Raw genomic sequence first — 17,146 nt, 5'->3', positions numbered from 1 at the left:
GCATTGGTGTTCATCAGGGATATTGGCCTGAAATGTTCTTTTTCTGTTATGTCTCTGCCCGGTTTGGGTATCAGGATGATGCTAGCCTCATAAAATGAGTTAAGGAGGAGTCCCTCTTTTTCTATTATTTGGAATAGTTTCAGAAGGAATAGTGTCAGCTCCTCTTTGTGCCCCTGGTAGAATTTGGCTGTGAATCCATCTGGTCCTGGACTTTTTTTGGTTGTTAGGCTATTAACTACCGCCTCAACTTCAGAACTTGTTATTGGTCTATTCAGGGATTTGACTTCTTCCTTGTTTAGTCTTGGGAGAGTGTATGTGTCCATGAATTTATCCATTTCTTCTAGATTTTCTAGTTTATTAGCATAGAGGTGTTTATACTATTCTCTGATGGTAGTTTATATTTCTGTGGGCTCAGTGGTGATCTCCCCTTTATCATTTTTATTGTGTCTATTTGATTCTTCTCTTTTTTCTTCTTTATTAGTCTAGCTAGTGGTCTATTTTGTTATTCATTCATACAATAAAAACTTAAAGTGCTTCTCAAGCATTACTGATTGACCAGTTAAACATCCTTAGTAAACACAGAACTAGTCAACAAATCACAAATTCACAAGCAGTCACATAACTAAGCTTTTGTTTACATTTTACCTTCTCCATTTTCATCAGGAAGCAATCAATAAAGTCCTGAGGGTTGTTCATGTCCATTGATTCTTGGTGTTCTTTTACTTTTTCCAAAATATAACTTTTCATAAAAGCAACGTTTTTAAGTAATTTGTTGTGAGTTCCCGGGAAGTAATCAATGATAGGAGAAAAATTATTGCAGATCTAAGAGAAAACAATAATTTATTAAATTAAAAGATTTTAATAAAAGCATACATACCATATACCAAGCTCTGGTTGTAAATTACAGCTATAAATATAAATAAAATATATTGTATATCTTGATGGGGAAATTTTTATTGTACATATGTAGTAATTCTCTGATTATAAAAGATTTGAGAAAGAAAATTCTGACCAGAGGATCAATTCTAACCAGATGATAATCATTTCCTAGACTCAGACCTCCTTTTTATAGTATAAAAGCATCTTTATGTTAATTCTGTTACTTTTTACAATTCTTCTCTATAATCTTGAAATATAAGATGGCATGAATTACTACATTCACGTTTTGTAGATGACAGCATAGGTTAAAAGAATTTGGACAACCTGATTGATAGTACAAAGCTAGTCCCTACTATATTGATTTCTATCAAGCAGCCTCTGAAATGGAATTAGTATTTTAGAAGTGGGAGGGGCTCAAAGATACTTCAAATTCCAACTGTGCACCAGAGCAGTTAAATGACTTCTATAAAATCACACAATTATTATTTAGGCAGAGAATAAAACATGCCAGCTCAGCACAGGGTATAAGTGTGATGTCTGTTTATGGTTCATACACCATAAAACCAATAATTTTGTCATTCCTAACCCAGCTATCTCATCAGCTAGGATCCCAACTGAGATATCAAACACCCCTGCCCTATTCAGTGTTTCTTGGCAGCTTCTATGGTCCCAAATATTCTCCCTACTAGAAGGAGATAATGTCTTTTAAATTAGGATATTTCTGCCACATAATACGACAAAGTGTTAATTGAAGGACAAGTCTTGTGAGTAATGGGAGCCTCCAAAGTGCCTGGATATCCATGGAGTGCTATGAGCACGCTTTAGGGCTGTCAACAAAGTACTTTACAGAAACAGGGCTTTGGAGTTTAGCAGAAAAAACATTGATGAGGGAGCTAATGGGCTTAGAAATCAGGCCTATATTGAGGCATTTATTTCCCATGCATAAAATAAAGGGCTTGGCCGTCTTTCCCAGATATTCACCCCAAGGCTGTCTGGGCAAGACTGTAGTATTCAAAAATGCACTTCAGAGCTTGATCCATGTAGAATTTTGGATTTGTCAGAAAAAAAAGAGAATAAGTGGTTTCTCAGGAAGCAAAAATCTTGGCCTTACCTGGATCCAGGGGCTGCTCAAAATCTTGATGTTTTCATTCAACTTTTCCATTAAGTTAAGAAATTGCTGATCTTTATAATCAAAACGTTTATGGAAAATAATGGAGCAGATCACATTGCAGGGAGCACAGCCCAGGATGAAAGTGGGATCACAGGGTGAGGCTAAATAATTAGAAACAATTTAAAATACTATTAAACTTTAGATATAAAACACTGTATTTGTTAACAGATAATAGTAGTTTAGAAATTATCTTACCTACAAATTCCCTTAACAGCAAAAAAGAGTTCGGCATGCATAAAATCAACACTTCACTTTTACATTAATCCTGAGTTGACCATTACAACCTAGCTGGTTAAATAATGGTTGTTCAAATGCTAAATTTACATTCCCAGCCTATTTGTCTTTTACTTTGGAAAGAACAAAAAGGCATTTTCTAAAAACCTAATAATTCATGTTTCAGAGGGAATCACATCAGTCTGCAAAGTCAGTAGACAGCAAGGCACTGAGATGGAAAGGGCAAGAATAGTTGGAGATTTCAAAGCTTTTTATATATAATGAATAGCTGAAAGAGTCATGTGTTGAACCAGTAGAGAGGAACCAAAGAGACTGTTGGTGAATTCATGTATTTAAGAAAATAAATGTAAGAGCAGAATGTGTTTTATGAGAAGGAAAACAAATATAAATGAATAATATGCCTAACATATTATTAGTTTGTTATGTTAACAAACTAATATCAAATTAACATAGATTAGTTTGTTAAAAAATTAAATGAAAACTTTGTTGTTGTTTTTTGTTGTTGTTGTTTTTTGTTTATTTGTTTGTTTTGAGATGGAGTTTCACTCTTGTTGCCTGGGCTGGAGTGTAATGGCACGATCTCAGCTCACCACAACCTCTGCTTCCTAGGTTCAAGTGATTCTCCACCTGAGCTTCCCAGGTAGCTGGGATTACAGGCATGTGCCACCACATCCAGCTAATTTTGTATATTTAGTAGAGACAGGTTCCTCCATGTTGGTCAGGCTGGTCTCGAACTCCCAACCTCAGATGATCCACCAGCCTTGGCCTCCCAAAGTTGTGGGATTACAGGCATGAGCCACCGCGCCTGGCCAAAAACTTTTATTTTAAATATAAATCCCAGGTAAGGCAAACAAGAAAGTGTAAATTGATAAGTGGAGTTTTTTTCTTCTGTACCTTTTTTAAAATGAATTTTCTTCTTTAGGAACTAAATGCCCTCATCTCTAATCATCCTGCAAATTTAACCTATTTAATTTGATATTGATTAGGCCCAGCGTATCATTTAATAGCTAAATGAATTAAATTATAGGAAAAGTTTTCTTGTTTGGTGGAGGATCTCTGAAATGAAGTTGTTATAATCAAGTGATCGATAAACTTTATATTTTTTAAATTTTCTTTTATTTTACTTTAAGTTCCAGGATACATGTGCAGAGCGTGCAGGTTTGTTACAGAGGTATACATGTGCCATGGTGGTTTGCTGCACCTATGAACCTGTCATCTAGGTTTTAAGCCCCACACGCATTAGGTATTTGTCCTAATGCTGTCCCCCTGCTGGCCCCCCGTGCCCCAACAGGTCCCATGTGTGATGTTCCCCTCCCTGTGTCCATGTGTTCTCATTGTTCAACTCCCATTTATGAGTGCAAACATGTGGAGTTTGGTTTTCTGTTCCTGTGTTAGTTGCTGAGGATGATGATTTCCAGCTTCATCCATGTTCCTGCAAAGGACATGAACTCATCCTTTTTTATGGCTGTGTAGTATTCCATGGTGTATATGTGCCACATTTTCTTTATCCAGTACATCATTGATGGGCATTTGGGTTGGTTCCAAGTCTTTGCTATTGTGAACGGTGCCACATAAACATACATGGGCGTGTGTCATTATAGTAGAATGGTTTATAATCCTTTGGGCATATACCCAGTAATGGGATTGCTGAGTCAAGTGGAATTTCTAGTTCTAGATCCTTAAGGAATCACCACACTGTCTTCCACAATGGTTGAACTAATTTACACTCCTACCAACAGTGTAAGAGGGTTCATATTTCTCAACATTCTCACCAACACCTGTTGTTTCCTGACTTAGTAAGGATCACCATTCTAACTGACATGAGATGGTATCTCATTGTAGTTTTGATTTGCATTCTCTAATGACCAGTGTTGATAAGCTTTTTTCCATATGTTTGTTGGCTGCATAAATGTCTTCTTTTGAGAAGCATCTGTTCATATCCTTTGTCCATTTTTGATGGGGATATTTCTTTTTTTCTTGTAAATTTAAGTTCTTTGTGGATTCTGGATATTAGCCCTTTGTCAGATGGATAGATTGCAAAAAATTTCTCCCATTCTGTAGGTTGCCTGTTGACTCTGATGCAGTTTCTTTGGCTGTGCAGAAGCACTGTAGTTTAATTAGATCCCATTTGTCAATTTTGGCTTTTGTTGCCATTGCTTTTTGTGTTTTAGTCACAAACTCTTGGCCCATGCCTATGTCCTGAATGGTATTGCCTAGGTTTTCTTCTGGGGTTTTTATGGTTTTTGGTTTTATGTTTAAGTGTTTAATCCATCTTGAGTTAATTTTTGTATAAGGTGTAAGGAAAGGGTCCAGTTTCTGTTTTCTGCATATGGCTAGCCAGTTTTCCCAGTACCATGCTGTTTGGTTACTGTAGCCTTGTAGTATTGTTTGAAGTCAGGTAGAATGATGCCTCCAGCTTTGTTTTTGCTTAGGATTGTCTTGGCTATACAGGCTCTTTTTTTGCTTCATATGAAATTTAAATTATTCTTTTCTAGTTCTGTGAAGAAAGTCAATGATAGTTTGACGGGTATAGCATTGAATCTATGAATTACTTTGGGCAGTATGGCTATTTTCACAGTATTGATTCTTTCTATTCATGAGCACGGAATTTTTTTCCATTTGTGTCACCTCTTATTTCCTTGAGAAGTGGTTTGTAGTTCTCCTTGAAGAGGTCCTTCACATCGCTTGTAAGTTGTGTAAGTAGGCATTTTATTCCCTTTGTAGCAATTGTGAATGGGAGTCCACTCATGATTTGGCTCTCTGCTTGTCTATTATTGGTTTATAGGAATGCTTGTTATTTTTGCACATTGATTTTGTATCCTGAGGTCTTGCTGAAATTGCTTATCAGCTTAAACAGTTTTGGGGCTGAGATGATGGGGTTTCTAAGTATACAGTCATGTCACCTGCAAACAGAGACAATTTGACTTCTTCTCTTCCCATTTGAATACCCCCTTGACTGATTGCTCTGGCCAGGACTTCCAATACTATGTTGAATAAGAGTGGTGAGAGAGGGCATCCTTGTCTTGTGCTGGTTTTCAAAGGGAATGCTTCCAGCTTTTGCCCATTCAATATGATATTGGCTATGGGTTTGTCATAAATAGCTCTTATTATTTTGAGATATTAAACTTTATAGTTAAAGAGCTCCCAAATTCACATCTATATGTTTCAGGAAGTCAGGGACCCCGAACGGAGGGACCAGCTGAAGCCATGGCAGAAGAAGATAAATTGTGAAGATTTCACAGACATTTATTAGTTCCCCAAATTCATTCTTTTATAATTTCTTACACCTGTCTTTACTGCAATCTCTGAACATAAATTGTGAAAATTTCATGGACACTTACCACTTCCCCAATCAATACTCTTGTGATTTCCTATGCCTGTCTTTACTTTAATCTCTTAATACCATCATCTTCCTAAGCTGAGGACGAATGTCACCTCAGGACCCTGTGATGATTGTGTTAACTGCACAAATTGTTTAAACAATATGAAATCTGCACCTTGAAAAAAAAAACAGGATAACAGCGATGTTCAGGGAACAAGTGAGATAACCTTGAAGTCTGGCTGCCTGTGGGCTGAGCAGAACAGAGCCATATTTCACTTCTTTCAAAAGCAAGTAGGAGAAATATCACTGAATTCTTTTTCTCAGCAAGGAACATCCCTGAGAAGAATGCATTCCCAAGGGGTGGTCTCTAAAATGGCTGTTTTGAGAACGTCTGTCTTTTACAGTTGTAGATAAGGGATGAAATAAGGCCTGGTCTCCCATAGTGCTCCCAGGCTTATTAGGAAGAGGAAATTCCTGCCTAATAAATTTTGGTCAGACTGGTTGTCTTCTCTCAAACCCTGTCTCCTGATGAGATGTTATCAATGACAATGAGTGCCTGAAACTTCATTAGCAATTTTAATTTCACTCCGGTCCTGTGATCTCACCCTGCCTCCATTTGCCTTGTGATATTTTATTACCTTGTGAAGCATGTGATCTCTGTGACTCACACCCTATTCACACATTCCTTCCGCTTTTGAAAATCACTAATGAAAACTTGCTGGTTTTGTGGTTTAGGGGGCATCACGGAACCTGCCGACATGTGATGTCTCCCCTGGACACCCAGCTTTAAAATTTCTCTCTTTTGTACTCTTTCCCTTTATTTCTCAGACCAGCCAACACTTAGGGAGAATAGAAAAGGACTCACATTGAAATATCAGGGGCTGAATTTCCCCTGATATCTATAGGCCCTAAATAGTGACTTTAATCAAAAGTACTCTGAATGAATGGCCAGGCATTGAACAGTTGGAAATCTGTTAGTTTGTGTGTGTCATTCACAGATAAATCTGATTTTCAGTCTTTAACTTCATTGGGAAAACAGAATTTAAAAACAAGGTAATTTGGTATCCAAGCTGATAAACAGATTCATTGTAAAACTTCATAGATGAGTAGAGTTGGCCATGGAAAAAAAATAATTAACATAAATTTCTAAGCCAAAATTTCATAAATATGGTTGGAAAGAGATAAGCAAAACTGAAACAGAGCCAAATCATACATAGGGAATGCAGATTACAGAGTTATTACTAATAAGTAAAATCTTGTTAAATAAATCATTTTATAAATTGACATTTGGGTATTTCACAGAATTATGCTACAGGATGTATTTACTGAAAATATATAAATCAATACAGTAACAAGAAATAATTAATACTATTTTTAAAATAATGCTGTGTTTACAGAGAAATAATAATTGATGAGAACTGCACTAAGATATGCCTAAGCAATAAAAACTGTAGAATGTCATTACTGGCCAGAATGGCAAGCACGGGCCTAAAAGAAACCCCAGAGAAGTCAGTGAGGCTGACCATACAAACACAGTCCAATTAAATAAAAGCACATGCCATTTGGTTCATGCTCCATATGGGTATGATAGGGCCATTCCCACCATGTTGACTTGTCAAGTATTCTCTGGTGACATGTTCTGGAATAGGTAATGGGAAAAACACTGCTCTTTAACTCTTTCAAAAAATGAACTCAAAATCTATATTCATCATTTCTTATTTGAAAGCAAAAAAGCAAAGTTCAGGAGAACATGGGATTAAATGAACCTTTTATACCCACACTGTACGCACAATCATGCCTGTACACACACAGCACAAATATGTGCAAATTCCCTTGGCTCTCAGCTTCAAACCCCCGCTTCACATGAGCTAACAACCAGGACTCATAATGAAAGATATGGCCACCCCTGAAATGTTTCCAAGAATGTCAGTAGAGAAGATAGTAGTCCAGTAAGGTCAGTGATATGGAGTAGGGTCACCCACCCTTGGTTTTTCTCAACTCCTCCACAAGGCAGCGGGCTTCCTCTTGAACACGGTCCTCAATGCTCCTCTTCCCCATCCCAAAATTCCGCAGCGTCATGAGGGAGAAACGCCGGATCTCCTTCCATTTCTTTCCATTGCTGAAAACAATTCCTAACAGGAAGAGAAACGAAACTAGGAGGGAGATCCCAGGCAAGAAAGAGGAAGCTGACACTGGGCAGCCATGTGGATGGGCCAAGCTCTGCCCGAGGAGCTCTGTAAGTCTCTGTTTTCCATCCTCCCCATCCCCAAGACAGATGCTGAAACAGGCACATGCACACCTACCAAATCCTCTGTTAGCTCTTTCAGCCAGTGGGAAAATGCCTCTTCCAGAAAACTCCTCTCCAAGATCAATCAGGGCTTCCTTCACTGCTTCATATCCATGCAGCACCACTATGGGTTTCAGGCCAAAATACAGAGTGAACACAGGGCCATAGACCTTTGAGAGCTAGGAAAGTAGACAGAGATAACAGCAAACGAAGTTACTATTTTGTCCATTTGCTAAGCCTGATTTAGCATGATATTTTCATTGTATTTGTATGCTTTTATTCAGCCACACAGGCTTCAAATATTTCTGAATTTTAAATAGAAACATGATGATGATTATACTTGCCACTCAGATGGCCTGTGATGTTCAAGGCAATGGTCAGACAATTGCTATGCAGATTACAATTAATACTCACATCAACATATTCAGCAGGTCTATTTACTCTATTTTAAACAAACGGCCAGGTGTGGTGGCTCCTGCCTGTAATCCCAACACTTTGGGAGGCCAAGGCAGGTGGATCACAAGGTCAGGAGTTCAAGACCAGCCTGGCCAACAAGGTGATACCACGTCTCTACTAAAAATACAAAAATTAGCTGAGCATGGTGGTGCATGCCTGTAATGCTAGCTACTTGGGGGACTGAGGCAGGAGAATTTCTTGAATGGGGACCTGGGAGATGGAGGTTGCAGTGAGCCAAGATTGTACCACTGCACTCCAGCCTGAGCTACAGAGTAAGACTCTGTCTCAAAAAAAAAAAAAAAAAAAAAAAAAACTGAGCTCAGAGAATGACAAATTCATTTTCAGTGTCTCACAGCTAATGTACAGCAGACCAAAATTTGAAACTCCGCTTATTCAAACACTGATGCTTGAGAAATTTATCAGCACTTTCGAGTCTACCTTAAGACCAATACCCAGCTTCAAGAACTAACAATTTCCTGGTTTAATAGCCTTTTATGATTAGCATGCATCATAGCATTTATACTAAAAATATCTCTCTATGGACTCCACCTAGGACTCCCAAAAGCCCACATAGAGGCCGCAATTGCCAGGTCAATAGTCCTCACAGCAGTACTCCTAAAATTAGATGGCTATAGGATTATACAAATCACCTTAATTCTTAACCCCCTAACAGAGTTTATAGCTTATTCCTCCTTCTTACTATCCTTTTGAGAAATAATCATAACAAGCTCCTTTTGTCTGTGCCAAACTGATCTAAAATCACTCATTACTTTTCCATAAGCCACATGGCACTTGTTATCGTAGCTTTTCTCATTCAAACCCCCTGAAGTTTTACCAGTGCAACTTCCCTAATAACTGCCCACAGACTAACCTCATCCCTATTATTCTGCCTTGCAAACTCAAACTACAAACGAGTTCACAGCCAAACCATACTACTAACACAAGGCCTTCAAACACTTCTCTCCCTGATAGCCATGTGATGACTCCTAGCTAGTCTTGCCAACCTTGCCCTGCCCCCTACCATCAATCTAGTAGGAGTAGTCTTCATAACTACAGCGTCATTCTCTTGATCTAATCATACCATCATGCTTATAAGACTTAATATACTAATTGCAGCCCTTTACTCTCTGTATATGGTAATTATTACACAACGAGGGGTGTTCACATATCATATTAACACTGCTAAACCATCTTTCACTTGAGAAAAAACCCTAATACTTATACATCTTCTGACCTTCTTCCTACCATTACTAAATGCTAAGGTCATTTTGGGGTTTATATATTGTAGCTATAGTATAATTAAAACAGTACTTTGTGGATCTAAAAATGGAAGTCTATAACTTCTTTTCTACCACTTATCTGCTTTTGCTGGTCCTGAACCCACAGTTATTTCCTTTACAACAGGCATAAATTAATTCTTCAGAGAAGTTTAATTTTCATGGCTATTCTGAATAAAACACATGGCTAATATAGTAGAGGACTTATTTAATAAAATCTCTAATAACAAACATGTTCCTTACTGTAGGGAGACCCCCCCTGAAACTATTGCTACGGAATAAAAGATGAAATGCTCCCGATTATTGTAAATACAAAATTGCATGCAGGATTGTGTAAGGACAGTGCCAGGCTGGACTGCCAGAATGAGCCAACAGCGCGTGATGTGCTTCCCCCTGCAGAGAGCCTATGAATGGACGTGCAGTCAGAGAGGTTTCACATCACCAAGATTCCTATCCCAGAAAAGCAGATGTTCATAGCTCTGGGAATGGAATGCGACCTTTGTGGAGAACCTATAAATGGACGCATGGGGGGCACCTGTCCATATGGATAAGATAGGGCTATAAATGCCCTCATCTTGCCATGGCTCTTCTAGGCCTCTTTAGGGTTAAGGCATACTCCCTTCTGAGAATTTCTGGTCTAACTGGTTGTCTAGCTTCACATCCTATTTCCATGGATTGTTTGTAACCAGCTTTTGTTGCAATTGTTACTGCTGATTAATATCTTGCTAATCATAGGTTATGGAAAGATTGTGTTTCTGTTTTAAGGCTCTGTTAGAAATTACTGACGCACACACTATATTGTAAATTCTTATCTCCGTATACTGTACTTCTACATACAAATGTACTGTACTTCTACATACAAATGTTATGTTAAAGAATTACTTCATCCCCATGTGACCATCTCACCTCATAATCAAATGACCCTAAATCCCTCACTAACCTACCCCTGCCCTCACTAAACTTAATAATAAATGCTGGTATATCCAGTGCATTCTTGGCACCATGGGACCAGAAGGCGGTGACCCCCCTGGACCCAGCTTTCACTATCTTGTGTGTCTATTATTTCTCAACCTGCCGATCCACCTGGGAAAAAAGAGAGAGCCCAGTTGCTTTGTGGGCTGCTGACCAGATCCCACAATACCTTACCATTTACCTTCAGCCAAAAATTATAGCAAATGGTTATGAAATGAAGAAGGAACACAGCTTTTCAAACTATTGACACTTGTTATTTTGAATCTAACATGCAAAGACCCAAATCTTTCTCTACTCACAAAATACATGGTTTCATTCCACTATTTCTGACACTGACAGACTGGAAAAGGCAACAAAAGCCTTTCAAAGTATTTTACTTTACCATTACCTCTTGTAACATGTACCTCTAGGGATACACTTTATTTAAAAAATACAGGTGAATTTACTTACCTTTTGCAAGCCACTGAAGGAGCATACTTACATTGGTTAAGGATTTGCTGATGTCCTTAATACCTATCTGTAGGATATTTCCAATCACTGGGAGAGGAGTGGGGCCAGGAGGGAGTTTTCCTCTCCCAGAGCTCTGTCTCCAGAGTGAAAGGAGAAGCAAACATGAGAGACAGAGCACAAGGACCACAAGAGAATCCATTGAAGCCTTCTCTTCTTGTTAAGACAACCATGAGCTTGCACTCCAAGCCTTTTATAACACTCCATGCTAATTCGGTGTGTGCCTCTTTGATGGATAAATTGACCAATCACCTAGGTCCACTATATGCTCCTTCTGAAAGGACTTTGACCCACTGATACAGATAAAAATAAAATGTCCTTTGGTCTTGTTCTCCTTCGTTCCATTGTCCACTCTGTACATTCCAGTTTCACTGTACTTGGTTGGAGCCTAGGTATTGGTAATAAAAAACAAATGTTAACCCAGATGGTTCTAATGCACCATCATAATTGAGAGCACTGAAGTAAATAATCTGATGCAAAAGCAATTACTCAAAATTCTGAATTCTTAGATTAATAACCAGTTGGGAATATATGATTTAACAGAAATGGCCATATTCTATGCCTTGTATATTTAAAAAGTATGTCAATGCTATATCAAAGATTAGGAGACTTTGTTCTTTATAATGAAATCCTTTCAAATATTTAATATAGCCTACTAAAAATACAGCAGCCTAAACATGAAATAGCTAACATAACTCATATATCTTAAATAACCAAACATATATCAAGTAAATTACCTTAGCAGATATAAACACCTTTACCATTAAACCCCCTAAAAAAAATTCCTGAAGGCAGGAATTGTTATTTTTTATTTTTCAAATGGGAAAAGGGAGACCCTGGGAGAACAGGACACCTGTTGGTGCCACACAGCTCATAGCTGGCAGAACTGGGATTTGAGCTGAGGTCTTCTGATGCCCATCGTGGTGTATTATCTCTTACACCAGAGCTGCCTTGAGAACAATTTTAGCAAAATAAAACAAACTTCCAAACATTAGTTATTCTGAATATACACCACATTTATTCTGTTCATAAAACAGGCTTCACATTAAATAGAACCCCTTATTTGTCTCTAAGGGAAACAGCACCAGAGATGCTCATGAGAAGAAATAAGGGATCTCCCTTCTCCATCACTGCAGAAGTGAAACGCTCAGTGTAACTGAGGGAAAAATTTGGTGCTAAGGGTTTGAGAAACTAGGGCTTCTCGACCCCCCAGTCACCTCCAGACATGGCTGCTTTCTATTGTTTTTGGTTTCTCATTTTCAGATATGATGTAATAATGCACAGAAAGCAAAGGAAATTATGGACAGAACCACAGTTGTGGATGCAATAAAAGATGGGAGGTAGGGAAATCACTAAATGGACCCACAGCACAGAACCACCACAATGTATAGACCTTAACAGGAGCTGACATACTGAGTTGAGGATCTAAATACAACTAGAAAGATACACTTTACTAGATCATTAATGTCAATACTTGTGCAAAGCCATTTTCTTTAAAGATATCATCATATTTGTTCTAAATTCCCTAGTGAGGTTATTTCCATTTCTTTTATTAAGAAAAATAAAGTTATGTCAAGACACAGTTGCACAAAGCTTTACTGGTCATTTTTAACAGGGATTCTAACAATTTACAGAGAATTGTTACACCTCATGTCCCTTTTGAATCTCTCAATTACCTCTGCTTACAATAAAATTGACCCATTTCCGGAATGAGGAAGCTGAGCCTTGAAGATTCAGTATCTTAGCCAAGAACATGCTGTCTGCTAGTGCTAGAGCTGGGACTAGAACCCATAAGCCCTGCATCTCAAAGGTTTCATTTCAAGCAAAACATTCAGTTCAGTTGGGTCCACCAATATTTACTGATAGTGTACAATGATTCAGGATTTCGTAATTCAGTCTAGTAAATTATTTTCAAAATAAACATTAATTTCATTAATAATTACAGCCCCAGTTGACTAGATTGAGAGGTCAGAAGAGTTTGGTTTTATAACATTTAGTACTTAGGTAAGTCAAAGGCCTTGGAGAAGCCTTTATACAGGGCAAAGAAAAGCAATAACTTGGTCCCTGACTCATGAAACTCTAAACTCTAACAGAAATATACTACCTTATTTTGGGTAAAATAAGCTCGGTTGCTGTCTTTATAATAATCATTTCATTCCTCAGGAGGTAGGGGTCCCAGCTCAGCTCCTCCTCTCTCCTGCTGAGCTGCGGCTCCTTCCTAGACCTTTCAGTTTACAGAAAGAAAGAATTATAGATAATGTGTAGATAGAAGGGATATCTGAGATCAACTACTCTAAACTTTGCTTTTTTTTTTTTAAGAAATGAGCAATTATTGACTCAGTGAGACAAAGTATCACAATCACAATGCCTCAGTATAAGACTTTTTCTTTTCTTTTTTTTTTTTTAGACAGAGTCTCGCTCTGTCACCCAGGCTGGAGTGCAGTGGTGCGATCTCGGCTCACTGCAATTTCCAGCTCCTGGGTTCATGCCATTCTCCTGCCTCAGCCTCCCAAGTAGCTGGGACTACAGGTGCCCACCACCACGCCCAGCTAATTTTTTTGTATTTTTAGTACAGACAGGGTTTCACCATGTTGGGCAGGATGATCTTGATCTCCCGACCTTGTGATCCACCCACCTAGGTCTCCCAAAGTGCTGGGATTACAGGCATGAGCCACAACGCCCAGCCAAGACTTTTCTTAGAATCCCAGTTTTTCAACTCCCAATTCAGTGACATGTCACATCCCATCTCATAGAATTCACATCTCAGTCCAAATGATCAGGGGAGTATCAACATTAAGCCCTCCACAGTCACTGAGTAATACAAACCTCAGCTTGACTAGAATGGTGGATTAGAGTAGGCTTTTGAAACAGTTTGGGGTTTCTGGCAACACTAAGTGGAAAGTATATAATTACCACATGCCTCTTTCCCTGCACCCACACACAGTCTCTCTCACAATCAAGAACTCTCATTAGTTACAATCAATGAACCAACATTGACGCATCATCATCAACCAAAGCTCATAGTTTATGTAGGGTTCATTCTTTGTGTTGTACATTCTATGGGATTTGACTAATGCATAATGACATGTGCCATTGTAATATCACATAAAATAGCTTTACTGCCCTAAGAACCTCTGTGCTTTACGTGTTCTCTCTCCCTTCCTTGCAAGCCCTAGCAACAAATAATCTTTGCAGTGTAGGCATAGTTTTGCCTTTTCCAAAATGTAATACGGTTGGAATCATACAGTATGTAGCCTTTTAAGATTTAACTTACTCATATGTATAAAGTTTCTGCATGTCTTTTCATGGCTTGATAGTTCATTCCTTGTTAACACTAAATAACATTCATTGTATAGGTTTATCACGTTGTCTATTCATTTATCTATTGAAGAACATCTTGGTGATTTCTAATTTTTGACAATGATGAATAAAGCTGCTATAAATATCCATGTGCAGATTTTTGTGTGGAAATGTATTTTCAACTTATTTGGCAAATACCAAAGAGCACAACTACCAGATAATGTGGTAAACATATTTTAGTTTTTTTAGGCACTGCCCATCTGTCTCCTGAAGTGTCTTTATCATTTTGCATTTCCACCAGCAATGACTTAGTTCTCATTGCTGCACATCCTTGTCAACATTTGGTTTTATCAGTGTTTTGGATTTTAGCCATTGTATAAGTGTGTAGTTGTATCTCATTGGGGTTTTAGTTTGCAGGTCCGTAGTGACGTTTAATGATGAGCATTTTTCATATATTTATTTGCCATCTGTATTTCTTCTTGGGTGAGGTGTCTGTTCAGATCTGTTGCCCATTTTTTAAATCAAGGTGTCTGATTTCTAATTGTGGAGTTTTAAAAATTTTTGGAGAGAAGTCGTTTATCAGATATATCTTTTGAAAGTATTTCTCCCAGTCTCTGTCTTTTCATCTCATTCCCTTGATAGTGTCTTTTGCAGAGTAGAAGTTTAAATTTTAATAAGGTCCAGCTTAGTCATTCTTTATTTCATGGATTATACCTTCATTGTAGTATTTTAAAAACCATTGCTGATCAAGGTCATCTTTATTTTCTCCTATCTTATACTATCAGAGATTCATAGTTTTGCATTTTATATTTGGATCTAATATATATATGTATATATATATATACACACACGTATATATATATATATATATATATACACATATATATATATATACACATATATATATATATACACATATATATATATATATATTTTTTTTTTTTTTTTTTTTTTTCCTGAGACTGAGTCTCACTCTGTCACCTAGGCTGGAGTGCAGTGGCTCTCAACTCGGCTCACTTCAACCTCTGCCTCCTGAGTTCAAGCGATTCTCCTGCCTCAGCCTCTTGACAACCTGGGACTACAGGTGCGTGCCACCATGCCCAGCTAATTTTTTGTATTTTTAGTAGAGATGGGGGTTTCACCGTGTTAGCCAGGATGGTCTCGATCTCCTGACCTGTGATCTGCCTACCTCAGCCTCCCAAAGTACTGGGAATACTGGCATAAGCCACTGCACCCGGCTTAGATCTATAATATATTTTTAGTTAACTTTCATTAAAGGTGTAAGGTCTATTTCCAGATTCATTTTTCCGTATGTGAACCTCCAGTTACTCCATTAGTCTTCGTTGAAAAGACCATTTTTCCCCCATTGAATTGTCTTTCCTTTTTTTTCAAAGATCAGTTGACTATATTTCTGATGATCTACTTCAGACTCTTTACTCACTTGCATTAATCTATTTGACTTTTTTCACCAATTGCACACTGTCTTGATTAGCTTCATAGTAAGTCTTGAAGTTGAATTGGGTAAGGTCAGTCATTTGACTTTGTTCTCCTTAACGTTGGCTATTCTGGGTTTTTTGGCCTCTCCACATAAACTTTACAATCAGATTGTTAGCATCTAAAGATAAAAAATAATAAAAATAATAAAACTTTCCTGGAGTTTGATTCTTATTGTGTTGATCTATAGATCAAATCAAAAAGACTAACAACGGTCTTCATATCCATGAACATGAAATATTTGTGTATTTATTTATATCTTTGTTTTCTTTCATCAGAGTTTTGTAGTTTTCTTCAAGTGATATATGTATTTTGACAGACTTCCACCTAGGGATTTCATATTTTTGGTGCTAATATAAATGATACTATGTTTTTAATTCCAAATTCTAATTATTTATTGTTAATATAGAGAAAAGAATTTGATTTCCTTGTATCCTGCAACCTTACTACAATAGCTTATTACTTTTAGGAGTTTTTTCATTATTGTTGTTTTCTTTTTGTTTTGTTTTGTTTTTTTTATTTTTGGAGGTTTTTTGATTCTTTGAGATTTTCTACATAAACAATCATGCGATCTAAACACAATAGTTTTATTTCTTTATTCCTGATTGGTATCACTTTTATTTCTTTTTCTTGTTATCTCATTAAAAAGGGTTTCTAGTACGATGTTGAATAGGAGTAGTTTCATGGAACATCTCACTTTATTCTTGTTATTAGCCAGAAAATTTCAAGTTTCTCACCAATAATGATGTTAGCGGTAGGTTTTTTGCACATATTCTTTATTAAATTGAGAAAGTTCCTCCTCTATTCTTAGTTCGCTGAGAGTTTTTATCATGAATGTGTGCTGGATTTAGGCAAATTTTTTTTCTGCACCTGTGGATATGATGATGAGACTTTTCTTCTTTAGTAACTAATGTGATGAAGTAAAATATTTGATTTTCATATGTTGAGTAACTCTTGCATTTCTAAAATAAATCCCACTTAGTTATGGTGTATACAGTTTTTCTACACGATTGGATGCAATTTGCTAATCTTTTATTGAGGTTTGCACCTATTTTCATTAGATATACTGATATATAGTTTTGCTTTCTTACAATGTCCTTGTCTGATTTGAGTATTAGAGTAATGCTGGCCCCATAAAATGAGTTAAGAATAGAAGAATTTCCTCTGGTACTACTTCTAGAAGAGATTGTAGAGAACGGGTATAATTCTTCTATAAATGTTTGGTAGAATTTACCAGTGGACCTATA

The 17,146-nt window shown here is 37.3% G+C and overlaps 1 protein-coding gene and 1 pseudogene across 1 annotated transcript in view, besides 23 other annotated features; one reads left to right on the top strand and one right to left on the bottom strand.

Moving 5' to 3' along the window:
• The window catches only part of CYP2C9 (cytochrome P450 family 2 subfamily C member 9), a 51,434-nt gene extending 40,162 nt beyond the window's left edge, over positions 1 to 11,272 (bottom strand). Inside the window, exons 1-5 of the mRNA NM_000771.4 lie at positions 11,080 to 11,272; positions 7,910 to 8,072; positions 7,589 to 7,738; positions 1,991 to 2,151; positions 646 to 822 (exon numbers count right to left, since the gene is read on the bottom strand). Coding sequence (NP_000762.2) covers positions 646 to 822; positions 1,991 to 2,151; positions 7,589 to 7,738; positions 7,910 to 8,072; positions 11,080 to 11,247 — 819 coding nt within the window. The 5' untranslated portion in view covers positions 11,248 to 11,272. The remainder of the gene's footprint in view (positions 1 to 645; positions 823 to 1,990; positions 2,152 to 7,588; positions 7,739 to 7,909; positions 8,073 to 11,079) is intronic.
• Positions 2,896 to 3,093: a silencer, noted in NCBI's record as "fragment chr10:96706594-96706791 (GRCh37/hg19 assembly coordinates)". NCBI's record gives its function as "represses an EF-1alpha promoter that drives an FKBP-Casp9 reporter gene in an ReSE screen in K562 erythroleukemia cells {active_cell/tissue: K562}" and the evidence as "EXISTENCE:reporter gene assay evidence [ECO:0000049][PMID:32094911]".
• Positions 5,758 to 6,957: an enhancer, noted in NCBI's record as "BRD4-independent group 4 enhancer chr10:96702730-96703929 (GRCh37/hg19 assembly coordinates)". NCBI's record gives its function as "activates an origin of replication core promoter dependent on BRD2, P300/CBP, MED14 and CDK7 cofactors, and independent of BRD4, by STARR-seq in HCT116 cells {active_cell/tissue: HCT116}" and the evidence as "EXISTENCE:reporter gene assay evidence [ECO:0000049][PMID:35650434]".
• On the top strand, positions 8,435 to 9,626 carry MTND4P20 (MT-ND4 pseudogene 20; annotated as a pseudogene).
• Positions 11,247 to 13,124: a promoter, noted in NCBI's record as "-1877 promoter". NCBI's record gives the evidence for it as "EXISTENCE:reporter gene assay evidence [ECO:0000049][PMID:7794915]".
• Positions 11,247 to 14,169: a promoter, noted in NCBI's record as "-2923 promoter". NCBI's record gives the evidence for it as "EXISTENCE:reporter gene assay evidence [ECO:0000049][PMID:12181452]".
• Positions 11,247 to 15,360: a biological region, named in NCBI's record as "CYP2C9 promoter". NCBI's record gives its function as "regulatory_interactions: CYP2C9".
• Positions 11,369 to 11,418: a protein binding site, noted in NCBI's record as "-149/-145 ERE site 2". NCBI's record gives the evidence for it as "EXISTENCE:protein binding evidence [ECO:0000024][PMID:21493749]".
• Positions 11,381 to 11,430: a protein binding site, noted in NCBI's record as "GATA site 1+2". NCBI's record gives the evidence for it as "EXISTENCE:protein binding evidence [ECO:0000024][PMID:19995889]".
• Positions 11,382 to 11,400: a protein binding site, noted in NCBI's record as "DR1-B; also known as -152 HRE and HPF-1". NCBI's record gives the evidence for it as "EXISTENCE:protein binding evidence [ECO:0000024][PMID:7794915, PMID:15919766, PMID:16540586]".
• Positions 11,417 to 11,435: a protein binding site, noted in NCBI's record as "DR1-A; also known as -185 HRE". NCBI's record gives the evidence for it as "EXISTENCE:protein binding evidence [ECO:0000024][PMID:15919766, PMID:16540586]".
• Positions 11,442 to 11,462: a protein binding site, noted in NCBI's record as "-211 HRE". NCBI's record gives the evidence for it as "EXISTENCE:protein binding evidence [ECO:0000024][PMID:20086032]".
• Positions 12,923 to 12,951: a protein binding site, noted in NCBI's record as "GRE". NCBI's record gives its function as "positive regulation of promoter activity" and the evidence as "EXISTENCE:protein binding evidence [ECO:0000024][PMID:11991950]".
• Positions 13,067 to 13,090: an enhancer, noted in NCBI's record as "DR4-proximal". NCBI's record gives the evidence for it as "EXISTENCE:reporter gene assay evidence [ECO:0000049][PMID:11991950]".
• Positions 13,067 to 13,090: a protein binding site, noted in NCBI's record as "DR4-proximal". NCBI's record gives its function as "positive regulation of promoter activity" and the evidence as "EXISTENCE:protein binding evidence [ECO:0000024][PMID:11991950]".
• Positions 13,067 to 13,090: a protein binding site, noted in NCBI's record as "DR4-proximal". NCBI's record gives its function as "positive regulation of promoter activity" and the evidence as "EXISTENCE:protein binding evidence [ECO:0000024][PMID:11991950]".
• Positions 13,067 to 13,090: a protein binding site, noted in NCBI's record as "DR4-proximal". NCBI's record gives its function as "positive regulation of promoter activity" and the evidence as "EXISTENCE:protein binding evidence [ECO:0000024][PMID:11991950]".
• Positions 13,154 to 13,192: a protein binding site, noted in NCBI's record as "proximal AP-1 site". NCBI's record gives the evidence for it as "EXISTENCE:protein binding evidence [ECO:0000024][PMID:24830941]".
• Positions 13,423 to 13,462: a protein binding site, noted in NCBI's record as "distal AP-1 site". NCBI's record gives the evidence for it as "EXISTENCE:protein binding evidence [ECO:0000024][PMID:24830941]".
• Positions 14,126 to 14,148: an enhancer, noted in NCBI's record as "NR1-2XF fragment". NCBI's record gives its function as "mediates induction by Nr1i3" and the evidence as "EXISTENCE:reporter gene assay evidence [ECO:0000049][PMID:12181452]".
• Positions 14,126 to 14,148: a protein binding site, noted in NCBI's record as "CAR-RE (NR1); also known as DR5-distal". NCBI's record gives the evidence for it as "EXISTENCE:protein binding evidence [ECO:0000024][PMID:12181452]".
• Positions 14,126 to 14,148: a protein binding site, noted in NCBI's record as "CAR-RE (NR1); also known as DR5-distal". NCBI's record gives the evidence for it as "EXISTENCE:protein binding evidence [ECO:0000024][PMID:12181452]".
• Positions 14,327 to 14,343: a protein binding site, noted in NCBI's record as "YY1 site; binds in presence of minor A allele of SNP rs12782374". NCBI's record gives the evidence for it as "EXISTENCE:protein binding evidence [ECO:0000024][PMID:19855097]".
• Positions 15,225 to 15,338: a microsatellite, noted in NCBI's record as "VNTR".
• Positions 15,225 to 15,360: a transcriptional cis regulatory region, noted in NCBI's record as "pVNTR". NCBI's record gives its function as "variable length polymorphism that influences promoter activity" and the evidence as "EXISTENCE:reporter gene assay evidence [ECO:0000049][PMID:22289258]".

The sequence above is a fragment of the Homo sapiens genome, chromosome 10 (genome assembly GCF_000001405.40).
Source record: "Homo sapiens chromosome 10, GRCh38.p14 Primary Assembly".
Taxonomy (NCBI): Eukaryota; Metazoa; Chordata; class Mammalia; order Primates; family Hominidae; genus Homo; species Homo sapiens.
This window is presented reverse-complemented; position numbering and strand designations above follow the sequence as displayed.